Raw genomic sequence first — 20,604 nt, 5'->3', positions numbered from 1 at the left:
TTAGGGTATCCATCACCTGAATAATGTACATTGTTAATGTTAATGAGTATTAACATTACCCAGTTGGTTAAGGGGCATTAACCAATTTCTCATCATCCACGCTCTTCCACCAGGTTTTTAGTTTTTGCCTGGGGCCAAAACCACTGCAGCCAAGCTCTCTGTAAACACAGGGCTTGCAGGAGTGAAGCTGGAGATTTGGCCCAGCTACTGCTCCAGGTACAGTCCTTTGATTAATTACTACCATTGCCCTCCACAGTCACATTTGCTCTTCTTATCGAACAGTTCTAACTCTGGAACCTCCAAGGACCGAATGTTACCATGTATACTTTGTTTTTGTTTTAACTAAAATTAGGTGCTTTTATTTCTCATGACCCAGGACATTTAATTATAAACATATGTATACAAATTATATATGTATATATGATACATGTATAAAATATATTTGAATGCAATGGAGATACTAAAGTTTCACCACATAATGAATGGCCATTACTTCAAGAGTCTTAAAGCTCACTTCTCTCTCTTTTCTTACTCTTAGCCACTGTAAAGGATTGTCAAAAAAAACTATTAGTCAACTTCTTGACCTTTCTCCTAAGCACTGACTGCTTAACTCTCTTTTAGGCTGTGTGAGTGTTATAGATGAGTGATCATAGTCATCACACGTGAACTTACTACTTTGACATAGGGGTGGTGCAGGTGGCCTGTGGCTTGCTCCCTGGGCCAACAATGTTGACAATAATAGAAAGCACATAAGCCATCACTCTTAGAATATCAGCAATCACATTAAGAAGGAAATCTGCATTTCATTTTAAATAGACTTTATTTTTAGAACAGTTTTAGATATATGGAACAATTTACAGTATAGTACAGGGTTCCCATACAGCCCACACCCAATTTTCCCCATTGGTACATTTGTTATAATTAATAAACTGATACTGATAAACTATTATTAACTCAATTGCATGGTTTATTTATATTTCCCTAGTTTTTACTTCATATCCTTTTTCAGTTCCAGGATCCCCTCCAGGACACGACATTACATTCAGTTATTATGGTCCCTCTTTGTTTTAACAATTTCTCAGGCTTTCCTTGTTTTTGATGACTTTGACAGCTTTGAGAAGTAGTCGTCAAGTATTTTGTAGGATGCTCCACTATCAGAATTTGTCTGATATTTTCCTCGTGGTTATGGGTTTGGGGGAGGAAGATCATAGCGATAAAGTATCATTTTCATCACATTATATTGATATACTATCAACATAATTTGTGACTGCTGATATTAACCTTGACAACCTGGATAGGGTAGTGTTTATCAACTCTCTCCATCACAGAGAAATCCTTTTCCGCAACCCACTCTGTACAGCCCACAGCTAAACAGTGGGTAGTTAGGTTCTATTTCTTGAGGGCAGAGTCTCTATGTAAATTATCTTTGACTTCCATTGTATGGGAAATTTGTCTCTTCCCCCTCAGAAATAACTTCTCAAAAGATAACACAATAGTATAAAGGTTTTTAAAAGAAAGATATAATGTCACTTATCTACAATGTTACTAATCTGTCCATCTGAGGAATATATTTTGAATTAGTCACTCCATAAATCTGAAATTCAATTATGCCTACAAATGAGCCGAGCCTTGTATAAAAAGGCTGAAGGATAAACGATATATGCAGTTCCCAATTCGTGGAGAAATGTTAGAAGAATCCCTGAGAAAATTCCTAAATGGGATCTGAAACCTCTGGGGCTGCCTTAAAACAGGCCAATAGACATGTAAACACATACAGTGCGGCGAAGTGTAAAAAAATTAATCACATACACTGTGACAAAGACTGACAGTACAAATACAGTATCCGGAGTGTGTTCTGGGGCCTAGAGAGAGAAACTCCCTCTGGAGGTCATTTAAGGAAACCCTACATTGTCAAAGGTGAAGAGACACATCCTGCAGGGGTGGTTGACCAGAAGTACTTTTTATTTATTTATTTATTTAATTGTGGAATAGCTGTACATATCTGGGGGGGTATATGTGATACTTTGATATCTGTATACAATGTGTAATGATCAAATCAGGGCAATTGGGATATCCATCACCTCACACATTTATCTTTTCTGTGTGTTGAAAACATTCAAATTCTTCTCTTCTAGCTATTCTGAAATAGATAATAAATTTTCAACTATCTACTGTACGATCGTAGGCTGGGACTTCTCCTTCTATCTAAGTGCCTTTTGTATCCCTTAGAAGGGCTTTTGGAAAGATCAAGTTGGTCCTGAAGAGAAGGAGGTTGGGAAGCAGGTGATGGAGATGGGGAGGCCTGGGGAGGGAGTGAGTCTGGGACAGACTGCCCGCCTCTCACTCTGCCCCTTGGCTGCCTAGCTTGTTTTTTCTTGTGAGGATGGGAGTTAAAGCCTCAGGTGGATAGAATTGAGTTCACATACTCCTTAAACTCATGGCAATGAACCATTGGTCCAGGAGAGGCACCTCTTTTGTCGGGTTTGGTTTGATGTTTTCCACATTTCCTTCAGTCCCTCCAGCCCCATGATCCTTACCCCACATGCACCCACTCTGGTCTATTCAAGCCCCATCCTTCCAACTCACCTTCCTCACATTCTACAGAATATTAGTGTTTTTGACTTTATCATTTAAAAATGTGTACAATAGTAGTAACATGCTATAAATGTTTCTTACTTTTTAAAACTTTTTCATTATTTTCACTCAATATTATTTTAAAAATCTATCCAAAGTGTTGTCTATAATTGAGTCCATTATTTCTGACTGCTGCATATTATTCTACCCTATGCATAAAGCATACTTCACCCAATTTCCTGTTGCTAGACCTCTTCCAAGTCCTTGTTCCCATAAGCTTTGTTACGGTAAAAATCCTAATAAATATCTTCATGTGACTCTGCAAGAGTTTCTCTGGGTTATATACACAGAGGTAGAATTGCTTGGCCACACCGCATAGGCATACCTAATTTTATTAAGTTCTACCAAATTGCCCTCATCAGGTTGCCAATGATCATGTTCTTGAATCCAAATGTCTATCCTCTGCACTCATCCTAAGTAACCTCTCAATGGCATTTGTCAAAGTTATTGTTGCCTCCATTTCTTTGTTGTTGAAAACAAATACTTTCTTGTTTTGTTTCCATAGAACTACATGTTATTTCTTTTATCAGTAGCCACTTCTTCTCAGTCTCCTTTGATAGTTCCTCCTCCTTTTTCTGACCCTAAATGGGGGAAACACCAGAGATCTCCCATAGGAGTGGAGCCCTACTCTTCACCATTAATACACAGGAGCGTAGGTGCTTTTGTACACTCCCTGGGACTTTTGTTTTTGTTTTTGTTTTTTGAGATGGAATCTGGCTTTGTCACCAGGCTGGAGTGCAATGGCATGACCTTGCCTCACTACAACCTCTGCCTCCTGGGTTCAAGCGATTCTGCCTCAGCCTCCTGAGTAGCTGACACTACAGGCGCCTGCCACCACACCCAGCTAATTTTTGTATTTTTAGTAGAGATGGGGTTTCACTATGTTGGCCAGCATGGTCTCAATCTCTTTACCTCATGATCCACCCGCCTCAGCCTCCCAAAGTGCTGGGATTACAGGCGTGAGCCACTGTGACCGGCCTCCCCTGGCTTTTAATACCATATCCATGTTAACACCCTCAAATATATGTGTACTGCCCTGACCTCTCCCCCAAACTCCAGACGCTTACAGCCAACTGCTAACTCAATGTCCCATCGGAACATCTGGCATCTCACACTGACTATGCCCACAATCAAGTTCTTAATTTTCCTCCACAAGCTGCTCATTCCCTTTGCTCCTCAATTCAGTCAATGGCACCTCCACGTTTCCAGTTGTCCTTGACAAAAATCTTTGAGCATCTTTGATTCCTCTCCTGTCCTCACACTCTTTACCCAATCTATTAGCAAACCCTGTCAGCTCCACTCTGAAAGCATGTCCTGGGCCAACCACACTACACCACCTCATGGACCACCATGGTGAGTCACCTTTCTCACATTCCAGAGCTACAGCAGTAGTCTCTAACATTGCTTTGCTTCCCCCTGTTCTGTTTCAGTCCGTTTTCCACACAGAAGCCAGAATGTTTCTGCTAGAATATATGTCCGATACATGTGACTCTTCTGCTTGAAACTCACCAGTGTTTTCCGAGCCACACCAAGAATGAGTGATCCTCTACAAAATCTGCCCCCTTGATCACTGCTATGCCCTCATTTCCTCCCTTTCCTACCATCCTTCCCATTCACTCTCTTCCAAGCCACCCTGACCCCTGGCAAATTCTCCAGCATGTCAACACCATTCCATCACAAGGTTTCTGCACTTGCTATTTCCTCTGTCACTTTGCATTTCTGGAATAAAGCCTACGCAATCAGAAGATGCCATTGTTAAGAAAAATCCCATCAGATTACAGTAGAGGAAGGGCAAACAAAGGTCTATGCAGGGCAACCGTCAGGACAGAATCTCCCCAAAGGCCCTGCCCTCTGTGGGTCCTGGCCTCTCCCATCCCCGCAGCCATTGCAACTGTCCATCCCCTCTCACCAGGGCCTAAACTCCTTCACCTCTCCCTACAAGGGTTTCTCATGGTGTTTAAGAGCTGATGATGGAAATGAACTCCATCAGCCTCTCTGTCTTTCACAAGGTGTGTCCAGGCATGAATTAAGGGAGGGACTCAGAAACATATGCTGTTTAACTACCTTGCGCCGGTGAGGATAGATTCATCTGGTCACTTTCTGCATATTTTTGCAAGACTATCACCTAATGCAATGTTTTACTATTTTCTGAGCAAATATGTTTAATAAGATCAGAAGAGATCCAAATATGAAGACAGTTTATAAACTGTGATAAACTGTACATATATCAGCTATATTATTCTACCCTGAGATAAATAACAAAACTAGTCTGTACTGACCAACAGCCTCATGGCTAACAAATCAAGAACTATTGCTGATAACAACTAAGAAACCTCGATTTGCAAAAGCTATACTGGGAATCCCAAGCAGGTTACATAAGTGAGATTTCAGTAAGTTAATGTAGTGTGGTGATGAGTACTTAGGCAAGAGAACATCCTTCCAGAGTGGATGTGAGAATTAAGCATGGAAAAAGAAGGCTGATTCCAAATGGAAGTAATCTTTTTCATTGGTTGAAAGAACCTGATTTTATTTCTTTTTTCTGGTTGGTTTCTTGCAAGAGAATGGACTGTTAATAAAAAGGCAAAATGGTGTTGGTATTTTATGTAGTGTTAATAGAAATATGGAAATGTAATCATTAAATGCATAATATAATACTAGTTAATAAAATTAAGTGCTCTCTTCTCCCAGTAGCCTCTGCAAAAGTTTTTTCTGCCAAAGAACCATCTCAACAGCTCAAATGAGTATGTGGATATTATGCAAGGAGAGTTTCATGCTCCTGCAGTTATCTGGCATCAAAGCATTCAGCAAGAATGGTGAAAGCATCTTTGGATGCTCAGAAACGGAGATGAATTTTTCTACTTGGAGATCTGACTGCTTTTGATCTACACGGTTTCTATTTTGTTGCCTGTTTCTGCTGGCATGCAATACTTGATGATGTTAGGCAAAGACTGAAGGCAGGAAAAATGCAGTGATGTGGGAAGAAAATGATCACTCAGAGACTCCTATGTTGAATATTGCAAAAGCCTAGGGGAGGGGTGCTTAAGGAAAGCCAGTGAGTAATCCTCATTTCTCCCATCCAAGTGAGTGCCGGTGCTCTTCCTGCATTTCCAAACTTCCTTTAGGGAAAAGAAGCATCCATTAAATGCCTCCTCACACAGGATCTGAAACACCTAGTAATGTGAGTCCCAAAAGGTTACATCTAGATGTCTCTTTTACAATCAGAATGAATCGGTTTAATAACCTCAACTGCTGGTTTGTTTCGTTTCATTTTAAACTAGCTGATTCCCATTCTGAATGAAAGTTTATATATGGGCAGACCCTCTTTGCTGCACAAAGCTAGAGAAGACCGTAAGTCAGTATTCTTACACTGTTGTGAGGCTATCAGTCATTCCTTTGAGAACCTAATTAAAGATACAGAATCTCTTCGTAGACTGTCACGTGTGCAAGTCCCCACATCCATGCACATGCATGCACATACACATAAATGCAGACATAGACCTCTCGTTAAAAATTCTTGCTCTAAACAATTTTCCACAGTGACTCACATTCCCACAGTTTGATCGCATTTGGTATGCATTCACATGAGCTTATGCACGTTGAAGCAAATTAAATACAGTCCCAAGAATCCTTGCAGGTGTCATTCCTGAAAGGCACTCAAGTGCAGGTTTCAGTTAAGAAATGAAGCAAAGTGTGGGTGAGCAAGGCAGCACAGCTTGGAGGGTAGAGCATGAGCCTCCGGTCACATGGCAGTGTATCTGCTGTGTCACTTTGGGCGAGTTACTTTAGCTCAGTTTTCTCAGGTGTGAAAAGGAGATAAAATAGTAGCACTGCATAGGATAGATACTGCCCAACATCTCAAGCACTTGGTAAGCTCTCGAAAAATTAACAATTATTATTTATGCTTTAATTGACTCAAACTATGAATCCTTTATTACTTGGCTATTCTGTGCTCTTTTATTTTCTCAAACCTTATGATTCAGAAACACATATTCGTGAGAAGAGAAAGGGAACTGAGAATTCCGTCCAAGCACAGCCCAAACAAGGGATCATCCAGTCTTTCCTGAATACTTGCAATGTGACCTCTAAGTTCCCTTATCGTGATAACTTTCATGAGCAGCTAAAGTCTCATGGTTCTCCTACGCTAAAGACTCCTAAGCAGCCCCTTCCAATTTAGGACAGGTCCTCTTTCATTAAACTGAAATCTTTCTCTCTTATACCTGCCACCATTATTCCTAATTTGCTGCTTAGAAGTGAGTAGAATCAGCATGAAAAGTGTCCAGAAGGCAGAGACATATTCATATTCTTCTCTACGTGGCCCCAGCATCATGCATGGTGCCCAACCCTGAGTTTACGCTCAGTTTTTGTTTAATCTATTAAGGCTTTAAATATCTGAATGTAGCCATGAGGTACCTCCATAGCCTTAAATGTCCCTTCTCAAAACCAATGTTCTCCTATTTCTTCAAAATTCCCACAGAACATAGTGCCCAGACTGTTCACCATCTAAGTGGTCCTTTGGTTGAGCACAATATTCCAGGGGCAGTCTGACAGGTTAGAGATGTATCATCAACCTTCTTCTGTTCACTCCATTCATTCACTCACTCAATAGCTCATTCAACAAAGAACACCTTATATGCTTATTCCCAGAAAATTCTAGGAGATTCCAAAGTGAGAATTATGACTTGTATACAGCTCAACACACTTGGCTGTTGACTAATGCTTGCATTTCCCTTCAGGAAGAAGTCACGATAATAGTTCTTTCTTTCTTTCTTTCTTTCTTTTTGAGACAAAGTCTCACTCTGTTGCCCAGGCTGAAGTGCAGTGGCACGATCTCGGCTCACTGCAACCTCTACCTCCCGGGTTCAAGCAATTCTCCTGCCTCAGCCTCCTGTGTAGCTGGGATTACAGGTGCCTGACACACCTGGCTAATTTTTGCATTTTTAGTAGAGACAGGGTTTCACCATGTTGGCCAGGCTGGTCTCAAACTCCTGACCTCAGGTGATCTGCCTGTCTCGGCTTCCCAAAGTGCTGGGATTACAGGCATGAGCCACCATGCCCGGCTCGTGCTAGTTCTTTCTAAATCCACCCTGACACTAATTTCAGTTCACATGGATCATCAAATCAGTTTTTGTTCCTCGCATTGGATGTTGAGCTTCTGTTAATGTTCCTGATTGACGTAATCTTTCTCCAAAATTAATATTTTTAAAAGAAAGCTTATTTTTTCTTTCTTTCACAGTTGTACATTTATTATGCCTCCTGGTACAGCTTCTAGAGATTGCTAATCTTTCTGTTTTTCCCTTCACACAATGGGCAACATACATCTCCTCCTCTTTCAACCTATGTAGTTGCAGAAGAATAAGTCAGGCTTTCCCAGAGGAACTCTACATTCAAATATCAATCACCAGGAACCACAGGGGAAGAGGAAATAAAAGAAATGAAAGAAGAAATGTTTTGCTAAGTAGAGATTTTTTTAAAGAAACTACTTCCATACATTTGCAGGCAAGTCAGCTACAGGAATGCCTAAAAGTTTGTTATCCTCCCAAGGAACAGCTGACAGGTTTAATTTTAACACAATCCTTGAAAGAGCTTAGGGAGTCCAGGATAAACGGTTGTGCTATAAATCTGTGATACAACAGGACAGGATGGGTGTGTGCCCCCTAATAAATATTGATACTGGTTCCCAGACTTTCATATAATGACTATTTTCAAAGGGAGAGTCTTTTACCTCAATGCTTAGACTGACAGGCAATGATGTGGAAGCTCTTTCATCAACAAAATGGGTGGAGAAACACTAGCATAATTAACTCCTGTAGCTGCTTTTTTTTTTTAGACTTGTGATCCCACAACTCACAATTCACTGATTCTCTCTCTGAAGTAACTTACATTTCCCAGGTGATCAGACAAGGTCTACCAACTTCAAGGTCAAACCACCAACCAGTGAGAGATTTGAAGTCAGGCTCCATCTGAGATTGTGGCTGGGGCAGAGGGAAGCACAGGGTTTAGCAAGTTTGACTCATTGCAGGGCCAATGAAGATCCAAAGGAGAAACAAGGTGTCCATGTGGAGACCCTGGAGAGACAAAAATTGCTGCCCCAGCAGCTGCCCTCTTCTGTCACCATGTGTAAACCCACACATGAAGGAAGCCACCAAGCATTCCAAGCACCTGGGGCTGTTCCTGCTTACATAATTTCATAGAGAACAAATGCAAAGCCAGGGAAACCTGGAGTACAGCCCCAGGGGACCTGAAGAGGAAAGCAAATGAGATTCAGGGGGTGTTTTCAACTCTTTTTCCCCCATGAAGGTTCTGACTGTGGAAGAAAGAAGAGGTTGGAATAAGTGAACAACTGGATTGGACTTTTAAGCTACATTTTACAATGCCAACATGATGACTACCAGCATAAGGCAGAGGGTGTCTAACGAGAACTGATAAGGAATTTTTGGCAATATACTCCTGAAGAGAGCAAGAAAGCTTTAAACTGTGCAAGAGAGAAAGTGCCCGCATGAAATGGTAAAAACAGAGTAGGATGGACAAATCAACATTAATACATAAAAAAAAACACACTTGGCTTCTTCAAAGAGCACATAAAAAAATCCTAAACTCTTACTATTTTTAGTAAATTATTATGTAAACAATCACTAGTATGAAACTCATGACTTGAATTCAGCAGGGGAACAGTGTACATTGTCCATTTCAAACGAATTATATATTTTTTAATAAGACCAAATGAGAATGCATAAAGAGAGGCTGCCAGCTAAAATCATTAATTCATTCATTCAATAAAGATTTACCACTTAACAACTCCATGTCACATTTTGTGCTCATTAAAATCTTATGTAGGCACAGCAGCTATGTAAGTAAATATTACTTTTTTTATTTTTTTTTAGACAGAGTCTCACTCTGTCGTCCAGGCTGGAGTACAGTGGTGTGATCTCAACTCTCAGCTCACTGCAACCTTCACCTCCCGGGTTCAAGTGATTCTCCTGCCTCAGCCTCCCGAGTAGGTGGGATTACAGGCACCCACCACCGCGTCCTGCTAATTTTTGTATTTTTAGTAGAGACGGGGTTTCACCATGTTGGCCAGGCTGGTCTCAAACTCCTGACCTCAAGTGATCTGCCTACCTCAGTCTCCCAAAGTGCTGGGATTACAGGCATGAGCCACTGCACCCAGCCTCAATATTACTTCTTGCTCTTATAAAGCTTATTAGCTAGTGAGTACCTCACCATACATGTCTTTAAAAAAGAGATACAACTGAAGTCAAAGAGGGGAAAAAGGTTCTAATAAAGATCATGTGGAGAAAAGACCCCAATGGACAGAGTCAAAGTGAGAAAGCTCGCAGGTCAGCTAAGCAAGTGTTCAGTGCAACCCAATGCAATGATTAGAAGAATCCTAAAAAATCCTACAAAATAGGAATGATAATTTCCATTCACAGAGTTGTTGCAAGAAATCAATGAGGATATACATGTCAAGTACATGGGACATAGTAAGTACCTAACAAATAGTGATTTTTAAAGAATTTTAAAACTTTATACTTTCTGTCTTATATTTCTGAATTATTTGCATTTTTACAATAAATATATAGTATAATGATAATCAGGAAAAAAGGAGGGAAAGGAAACCTGCCAAAATATAAGGAAGTATGTAAATTAATCTTCAATAAAGTTGATTTCTTTTTTAAATACATGGAAGTACAGTAGTCCCCCCTTATCCACAGTTTGGCTTTCCTCTATTTCAGTTTCCTATGGTACAGTACAGTACAGTAAGATATTTTGAAAGAGAGACCACAGTCACATAACTTTTATTACAGTATATTGCTAAAATTGTTCTATTTTATTATTTTGTTAATCTCTTACTTTGCTTAATTTATAAATTAAATGTTATCATAGATATGTGTGCAAGGAAAGAAACATAGTATATATAGGGTTCAGTACAATCCGCAGATTCAGGAATCCACTGGGAGCCTTGGAATTTACCCCCCACAGATAAGGGGAACTACTATATTGAGGTGAAATGCTGATCTCAAAAACTAGGACAGGATTATCCAAACCCAACTTCCTTCTCCCAGAGCTCATGTTACGGAAACAGTCAGGACCCAAGCACTCACCCAATCAGTACCATTACTTGAGGTGGAGCCCCATGTGTGCTCCACCCCAGCATAGGTGCCTTCCACAAAAAGAACCTGCCAGTGTCAGAAAGTGAGAAGGGAAATATCAGGCCTTCCGCAGAAGGGGCAAAGCATGGGGCTTCTGGAAGGTCAAGCTGCAGGGAGACCTTGAGTAGGGAATGTCCTCTTTCCTAAAACTCACAGCACCGGGTGATAGGGGGATGCTGTGCCACGTACAGAGGGATGCAGCTTCAGGAAACAGCTCTTTAACTCATCCAGTACAGACTGGTCCCTGTGAGTCATTGAGACCTTCAGACATTTTATATATTCTGTACACCTGAGTTTCTCAAATACACCATGTTCCATAGTGAAAAGAGTAGGGCTTAGGTTCAGACAGACCTGACTTTAAATCCTCTTTCTACAACTTATGGGGTCATCTGCATTTTACTTAACTATCTTGCTTATACATGCTGCACTGTAAAAGCAGGGATACTACTATTTGCCTTGCAAATGTCTTGGGATGAATAAATGATCTATCTATCAGTCTGTGAAATCTGCTAACTCAATTGCATTAATTAATTGGTAAATGCTTATAAATGGTGGCTATTAATATCTGGCTTTCTAGACTATGATTACTTAAGGAATCAAATATACTGAAAATTTGCTCAATCTTTACTTAAATTTGATTGTGCCAATTGAGATAGAGGATATTGGTATAAACAAAATATTGGATGTATTTTATGGCCCCAGAATAATAACCACTGACTATTAAGAACTGTTAGTCTTACTCATTTAAACCTCTTTATATGGACCTTATTCATATTTCTTTTTTCACAAATGCAAATGATTAAATCAGCGATAGCCCTCAAATATTTTTTGTACGTGGACCACTTTAGCAAAAATAAGAAAATTAAAGTGCCCTAATTGCTTCCATTTCACATCATCAGCAAATTCACTTTGCAACAAAGGTCACCATATAGACATTAGCTAACTCCCACTGATGAAGACTGAACAGGAGAAAAGAGTCTTTTCAACTTAACAGATATCCTTCTATGTGCCCAGCAATTATCCAGGATATTAACAATTATAAGCATAAACAAGATGTAACTCATGCTTTTGTGCACCTTATTATAATTTAGTGGTAGAGACATACAGGTTCACAGTTAATAACTTAAAAAGGAGGCATGAAGAAAGTATCTTGATGGAGCACCACAGCATTCACTACAGTACTTAATTTTAAAAGATACATTTCCTAGATTTGTCCACTGAACGGGTCTAGAAGTAATGACACCCCAGGGGCAATGAGCACACCTATTTACCCAGATCTTGGATTCTAATCTCAGGGATCCTTGAAGAAACAACCTTTCAGGCCTGGTGCAAGGAGAACAGAATGGCTTGTTGTACTATAAAGTAAGAAAAACACAAAAAAAATGAATGCGGATATGTTGGCAGGACTCAGGAGTTAGCTTAAAGGGGCTTCCATAGGTAGAAATTGGGAGAATTTGAACATCATAAAGGGTAATACTAATAACTTATAATATGTTTAACTTTATTTAATTTTAAAAATACTAATAACTCCAATAAATCCATAGGACCCTCAAAAGGTGGGGGAAGTGGGGAGAAAGAAGGAAAATAAAAGGCTCTTCTTTACAAAATAATTCAAACTATTAAATGTAGAAAGAATAACAGAACTCTAAAAACACCATTTTGCATCCACCTTATAATAACTGATTCACATGAGGACCATCAATGAATGTGAAATCTCTTGGGTGAAAATGTGTTGGGAAACAAGATATTCACATAGACTCTAGGTATCATTGCTCAGTTGTAATTTATTACAAATAGGGAAAAAGTACTTTACAATGAGGAAATATGGCAGATGAGTGATCACAACAAATATTTGTAATAATGGCAAACTGACATCGGATGACTCCTGAGACTCCTGTAGGCTGGTTTTGGCTGTATGATCTCAGGGTTATAAAAGACTCCCATGGGATAAACTGTGGCATATGAGACCAGGTTCCTTGTGTGGGTCTTGGTAATTTATGACCTGAAGAAGCACACACAATGTGACCAAGAACCCTGTGAGTTGTGCCTGGAAGCTTGGACCTCTTTGATGTTTGTGCCTTCTTTCTCCTGCTGTACTGTATCCTCTACTTTCCTAAAGCTCTATAAGAGTATGCCCTATGAGGTCTTGTGAGTCCCTTCGATGGTTCAACCTTGTATAATTGCTGTAGGAACTGCTCTAAATCAAAGACTTAAAATTGAGTACAATGTACACAAGTTAGATGATGGGTACACTAAAAGCCCAGACTTCAGCACTATACAATTTATCCACATACCCAAAAATCCCCTGGGCCCCTAAAGCTATATAAATTTTTTAAATAAAATAAAAATAAGAGGTAAGAAATGTGAAAACAAAATGCAATGTGTGATCTTTTATTGGAACCTAGATTGAAGAAAAAGCTATTAAGAACATTGTTGAAAGAATTCAGAAAATGTAAATATAACTTAAATAACAGTACTTTATCAATGTTAGTGTAATAATTATGTTGTGCTAATAATAGGTGAATGTTCTCATTTTAGAAGACCTATGGTGAAATATTTAAGGATGAGGTATCCTCACATCAGAAACTCAAAATTCTTGCCAAATATAAACAAGTAAACAATATACATACACGTATAGACAGAGATATAGAACAAATGTAGTATAATGTTAGCAATTAGCAAATATAGGTGAAGCATATATAGATGTCCACTTTAACATTCTTTCAATTTTTCTGAATGCTAGGATTTTTTTAATACAAGGTTGGAGAAAACTTCACTGAAAAAGTAAATTTCAAAATTTGAAATTCCATGTTTAAAGGAGTTGGGAAAATTTAAAATTCCGTGTTTAAAAGTGTTGGGAAAATTTATCTAGAATGGCCAATATCAAGACGTAGTCTAGTAATTGTATCAAACTTTGAACAATTTTTTTAAAGCATATTTTGCATATCCAGACAAAAAGACCAAGTCACTGACAGGAGAAAGAAAATCATATTGTCATTTTATTTTTGACAGTAATGTGATATAATAGAAGACAACAGAGTAACAATTTATGATACTTAAGAAAATAAATAAAAGCCAAAGTTTTTTCATCCAACCAAACTGACCTCAGAAATAAAGAACACAGAAATTTTAATGTTTTATTTTTAAACAGTTTTACAGTTACAGAAGAGCTGAAAGAAAAATAATGCAGAGAGTTTCTTAAACCCATTCCCCAGGCCTCCTTCATCTTCACATTATCCACAGCCGCAGTGCAATTATCAAAATGGAAATTAATATTGGTACAATACCATGAACCACACTATAGACCTTATTCAAATTTCACCAGTTTTTCCACAAATGTCTTTTCTCTATTCTGAGATCCAGTCTAGGGTCCGACATGGCATTTAGTTAAGTCCCCTTAGTGTCATCCAACTTATGAGAATTTCTCAATCTTTCCTTGTCTTTCATGACTTTGGCATTTTTGGAGATACTAGTCAGTTGTTTCATACACAGTCTTTCAATTTAGGTTTGCCTGATTGATTTCTCATGATTATATTAAGGTAATGCATTTTGGACAAGATACATAGAAGTGATGTCAGTCTGTTTTCAGTTCATTGTACCAGGAGGTGAATGGTATGTCTTACAACCTGTGATCTTAACTCTGGTCATCTGGCTAAGATGGTGTCTACCAGCTTCCTCCACTATAAAGTTAACTATTTTTCCCTTCGCAATTAATAAATATTTGGGGAAAATACTTCGACAAAGGAAATATCCTGTTTTTCCTCTACTGATTTTAGCATCCACTAGGGGACCCTGCTTACAACAAATATTATTGCAGTGTTTGCCTAACAGTGATTTTTTATTTTCTAATATCTTCTTCATTTTAAAATTAATATTCTTCTATAAGGAAGAACTGTCCTTTCCTCCCTTTTATTTATTCAATTATTTATTTGTATTGGTTCATATATATATATTGTTCTACCAATACTATCATTATTTATTTTGTTGCTCAAGTTGTTTTAGTTTTGGATATTTGGAGCACCTTCTGATTGGCTCGGGGTCCTAGATAAAAGACTTCTTAAAGAGACATAAATATCACTAACCCTTAAAGAAAAGATTTAAGCACTTATCATTAAAATAAGAAAAAAAAAACACATTCATCAAAAGAGATCATTGAGCTACAGAGTAGTAGATTTTTGCATTACACATTATATCCAGAGTAGCTTTTTTTGTATTATACATTATATCCAGAATAAGCAAAGGACTCCTAAGTCAGTAAGAAAGTCAGATGACCAAGACTAAACATCTGAATAGGCACTTCACAAAGGAGGAAATTCGAATGGCCAATAAACAAATGAAAAGGAGCTCAACCTCATTAGGAATCAGAGCAGGGCAAATTAAAACCACAAGGAGATATCACTACACACCTGCTAGCTTGCTTTAAAATGAAATACAACCACACAGGAAGCCAAGCTGAATTCTTCAGTACAGTTCAACATACCTGTAAACTATTACCTGCCAATTCTACTTCTAGGTGTATATCTTACAGAAATGCATACTTATGTGTGCCCATATACATATAGAGTGATGTTCATAGAAGCATTATTTGTAATAACCACCAAAAAAGTGGAAATAACCCAAACATCCATTTATGTAGAATGGATAAATTGTAATATCTTTACTTAATGGAATAGTATACATTTAATGAAAATGAATAAACTATTACTCTGCACAACAATGTAGATGAATCTTGAAAACAAAGCATTAAACAAAAAACCAAATAAATACACATAATATATCAAATGGTGATAACTGTTGTGGAAAACTGAGATTAAATCAAAAAATAACTTTTAAAAATGATTATAAACATCGAAAAATAGATTAGCAGTGAGTCCTGAAATCAGTTAAAAATAAAAATATGTTTAGTGAATTATAAATTATATGTATGGTGGAAAATAGAATCCAAATTCAAATGATGTGCTTAAAAGAGAAGATATATATTGTAAAAAAAATCATATATTAGATTTGACATATTCTACAGTAAGGAAAAACCTAGTAATTCCTATGTGAGTATAATTTACTTATGATTTTATGTTTTAATGAGTAAAGAAAGTCATCCCCCATCTCTTTTTCAAAATATTCTTAGTAATTTTCTTCCATTTATTATTATAAATGACTTTCAAAATTATGTCGCCACATTCTGAAAAAGGCCCATATATTTTACAAAGTTTTTCAATACAATTAGCATAAAGCTGCCGCTCAAATTTGATATGGCCAATATCCTTTTCCTGATTTCTCATTTCTAAATCTGTGTTTGTGTTTGTCTTTTCTTGACAAAGCTGGAGGCTTATCTATTTTATTTTCTCTTTCAACAAAAGAATTTTTGAGCTTATTTATTGGTTTTATTTATTTTCAATAACTTCTGTTTTTATGATTACTAGCATTGTCTTGTTTGGTTTAATAAAGTAGCCACAAATTGGGACAACTTCACGACTCCCAGCAGTAGCCTCGTCTGTGCAATCCCATCCTCTCTTCCCATAACAGACCTATCCTCTAGCCATAGGAGTGCACACATAATCCAGATTGAGCCAGTCATACTACCTTATCCTGCTGTCCCCATTGATTAGTCCAGAGATGACAGATAAGCCAACATGGTTCCAACAGAATCCATCTTCAGGATTTTCTCAAGCTGTTGGGGAACATATCCTTGTCACTGTAGTATCAGTTTATTTAGACAAGCATCGGTTATGCTAAACAATGTCCCAAATTCATTCCTCACTACATGAAGTCCTCAGCAAGTCCATCAGCATTCCAGACCAACCCCTTCACAAGTCATGACTCAAGCATCCCTGTAGCTTTGCTTCTCGACACAGGACTTGCAGGGTCACCATGTAAGGGAGGAGAGAGCATGACAACTCATGCCTGCTCTGAAGTCCCTCCAACCAGAAGTGACTCGTTTCTCATCCACGGAGCTCACTGACAACAGGACTCCAAACTAACTGCAAAAGAGGCTGGAAAACGCCATATTCCTTGTGTCAGAAAGCAGCTGCAGGGTAATGAACCCATAGTGACTGTCTCCACTACAATCATAGATAGTGCATGCATCTGGACGGGTCACAGGCCACTCTAGTGAATCCTTATAATTTTGTGTTACCTCAGCATCCATTTGGAATACAGATTTAAGTTTCTCATACCAGTAGCAGGGCTCAGTCACACATGACACAGTTTTTGAGTTCTATACCACACCCAAAAGCTTCAAGCTAGTGACCAGAGATAAGAACTTAGAGGCACCTCTCCTGTCCAGCAGACTGGGCATTCCATTTTTCCCACTGCTTCTTTTGAACTGACCATTCAGGCATCTGCTCATGAACTTAAAGTATGCCACACTCTATCCCCTTATATATCCCGCAAGTTGCCAAGTGCATGCGCATGCCCTCTCAATCTCTCTCTGTCTCTCACTCGCTCTCTCTCTCCCTCTCCACCTGACTGTTTATTCCTGCTTTCCATGACCCAAGGATGGTGGGCTGCCCTCCCAATTCATTGCAGCCTCTCTGCCCAGGATCTGTAAGTAGAAATCGTTGAACTTGTTTCCTATTATGATGGTGTATTGAATTGATTGCCTTCTATCTGAAGAACCAGGGGCTGCCCCAGGTCTGGATTTTCTGGGATGTGGGAGGGGTGGGAGGTGGGGAATGGGACACAAGGGCAGGTTCCTAGCCTACAGCAATGTTCAGGCAAGCACACACTGGGCAAGGGTCAGACAAGAACCACAAGGGCATCTGCCAGTATAAACAAGTTTCCCATGTGAGGGACCCTCTGCTCACAGGCAGAGGCATAAGGCCGTGCACCAGGTAAAAGAAGTATCCTGGGAAAGGCACACTCTAAACACCCATGTCCAGCTCCCTTTCACTTCCTGTGAGAGCAAGTTTGCTAGCTACTTGGTACTGAAATCTCAATTTAGCTAGGAGCTCCCAAGACAGCCAAGTCCCCCACCATAGAGAAACTCTATGTGGAAGGAATGATAGGAGAGTGGAAATGAAAAATAATGAGGGGAAGTCTTATGGCTTTAGATATAGGTTTAGGTAAGAGCCCTCTTATCCCTACAGCCAGCTCCACCTCATCTTTCCACAATCTGGGAAAGTGTCCATAAATCCTTCTTCTTGACTTGAGCTAATTTGTGCTGCATTTCTGTCTTTTGCAACCAAAGAATCCTGAATAAAGTGGTCGAGATTGTTATAGGTCTTTTCCTAGTACTAATAAAACACTTAATTCATTGACAGTCATTCTTTTGTCTTTGTACATAAAAAAATCTAATTTAGTCAAGAAATTTTTGAATCCCCTTTTTTACATGCCAATTAAGATTTTGGTAGAAAGTGAGTTTCTGGTTGTGTATGAAAATTTTTATGTACCTATTAAGTACATAAAAATTATATTGAATAGATATTAAGTACATAAAAATTATCTTGAATAGATAAGAATAAAACATTAATCTTGAATGAATAGATATCCTATATTCTTATTCTGGGCTTATGAATCTATCAGAGGCTTAAAGGGGCTTGTTAAGGCCAGGAACAGTAGCTTACGCCTGCAAATTCCAGCACTTTGGGAGGCCGAGGTGGGTGGATCACCTGAGGTCAGGAGTTTGAGACCAGCCTGGGCAACATGGTGAAACCCCATCTCCACTAAAATAGAAAAATTAACTGGGTGCAGTGGAGGGCACTGTAATCCCAGCTACTCAGGAGGCTGAGGCAGGAGAATCGCTTGAATCTGGGAGGCAGAGGTTGCAGTGAGCCAAGATCACACCACTGCACTCCAGCCTGGGCAACAGAGCAAGACTCCTAATCAAAAAAAAAAAAGGCTTGTTAAACTGTCCAGAGACAATTGTGTGTCTGCCAATTTGTCTTCATATTTTAACATTATATTTATTATATATGATACTATGTTATTCTCTACACAAATATTTATGATCATGATTATATACTTTAATTGTGATTGGGTTCTTTAACAGTGTATGGTTTTTATTTTGGATTGGGGTCGCCCGATGTATTTTGATGCATTTCTTTAAGTTTACGTGGGTTTAAATGTTTCCTTTGTATATAGCATATAAGTGGGTTTCTTGCTCATTTTTTAAAAGCCAATCTGAAAGTAATTGTTAAGAGATTAACTTGTTTATGTTAATAGTTAATATTCTAGTTATTCGACTGAGTATTCTGTTTTGAAATTTTCTTTTATTTCTGTGTTGTTTCCTTTGATTTTGATCTTTTATGCTACTAACTTTTTAAAGCTTTTTAAATATTAAGCACTGAAGGTTATACATATCTCTTTAAAAATTAAAGGGTATTCAAATAGGAAGAGAGGAAGTCAAACTATCTTTGCAGATGACATGATCCTTTATCTAGAAAACCCATTGTCTCAGCCCAAAAGCATTTTTTTTTTTTTGAGACGGGGTTTTGCTCTTGTTGCCCAGGCTGGAGTGCAGTGGCGTGATCTCAGCTCACTACAACCTCCACCTCCCGGGTTCAAGCGATTCTCCTGCCTCAGCCTCCTGAGTAGCTGGGATTACAGGCATGCGCCACCATGCCTGGCTAATTTTGTATTTTAAGTAGAGATGGGGTTTCTCCATGTTGGTCAGGCTGATCTCGAACTCCCAACTTCAGATGATCTGCCCGCCTCAGCCTCCCAAAGTGCTGGGATTACAGGCATGAGCCACCGTGCCTGGCCCAAAAACTTCTTAAGCTGATAAGCAACTTCAGCAAAGTGTCAGAATACAAAATCAATGTGCAGAAATTGCTAGCATTCCTATACACCAACAACAGGCAAGCAGAGAGCCAAATCATGAATGAACTCCCATTTGCAATTGCCACAAAAAGGATAAAATACCTAGGAGTACAGATAACAAAGGAAGTGAAGAGCTATTTAAGGAGAACTGAAAACCACTGCTCAAAGAAATCAGAGATGATAAAAACAAATGAAAAGACATTCCATGCTCATGGATAGGAAGAATCAATATCATGAAAATGGCCATACTACCAAAAGCAATTTATAGATTTCAGTGATATTCCCATTAAATTACTATTGACATTCTTCAGAGAAATAGCAAAAACTATTTTAAAATTCAAATGAAACAAAAAAAGAGCTTGAATATCCAAGATGAGCCTAAGCAGAAAGAACAAAGCTGGAGGCATCATGCTACCTGACTTCAAACTGTACTAAAATGCTACAGTAATCAAACCAGCATGGTACTGGTACAAGAACACACACATAGACCAATGGAACAGAATACAGAACTCAGAAATAAGACTGCACACTTACAACTATCTGATCTTTGACAAACCTGACAAAAACAAGCAATGGGAAAAGGATTCCCTATTTAATAAATGGTGATGGGAGAACTCATTAGCCATATGCAGAAAATTGAACCTGGACCCCTTCCTTGCACCATATACAAAAATCAACTTGAGATGGATTAAAGACTTAAATGTAAAACCCAAATCTATAAAAACCCTAGAAGAAAATCTAGGCAATACCATTCAGGACATAGGCACATGCAAAGATTTCATGACAAAGACACCAAAAGCAATTGCAACAAAAGCAAAACTTGAGACATGGGATCTAATTAAACTAAAGAGATTCTGCGCAGCAAGAGAAACTATCATCAGAATGAATAGGCAACCTACAGAATGGGAGAAAATTTTTGCCGTCTATCCATTTGACAAAGATGTAACATCCGGCATCTACAAGGAACTTACATTTACAATAAAAAAAAAAAAACCCACTAAAAAGTGGGCAATGGACATGAATTGATACTTCTCAAAAGAAGACATACATGTGGCCAACAAACGTG

The 20,604-nt window shown here is 38.6% G+C and overlaps 1 long non-coding RNA gene across 3 annotated transcripts in view; it reads right to left on the bottom strand.

Annotated features, from left to right (window-relative positions):
- The window catches only part of LOC107986781 (uncharacterized), a 73,782-nt gene that overhangs the window by 30,664 nt on the left and 22,514 nt on the right, over positions 1–20,604 (bottom strand). The window contains exon 3 of one of the 3 annotated variants that reach the window (XR_001745158.1): positions 16,329–16,449. The exons of the other annotated variants lie outside the window; for them this stretch is intronic. This is a non-coding gene — a long non-coding RNA (uncharacterized LOC107986781). Of the gene's footprint in view, positions 1–16,328; positions 16,450–20,604 lie in introns of those variants that run through there. 3 annotated transcript variants of the gene reach the window in all.

The sequence above is a fragment of the Homo sapiens genome, chromosome 7 (genome assembly GCF_000001405.40).
Source record: "Homo sapiens chromosome 7, GRCh38.p14 Primary Assembly".
NCBI classification, from domain to species: domain Eukaryota; kingdom Metazoa; phylum Chordata; class Mammalia; order Primates; family Hominidae; genus Homo; species Homo sapiens.
The sequence above is the reverse complement of the archived record's forward strand: the minus strand, read 5'-3'. Positions and strand labels throughout refer to the sequence as shown.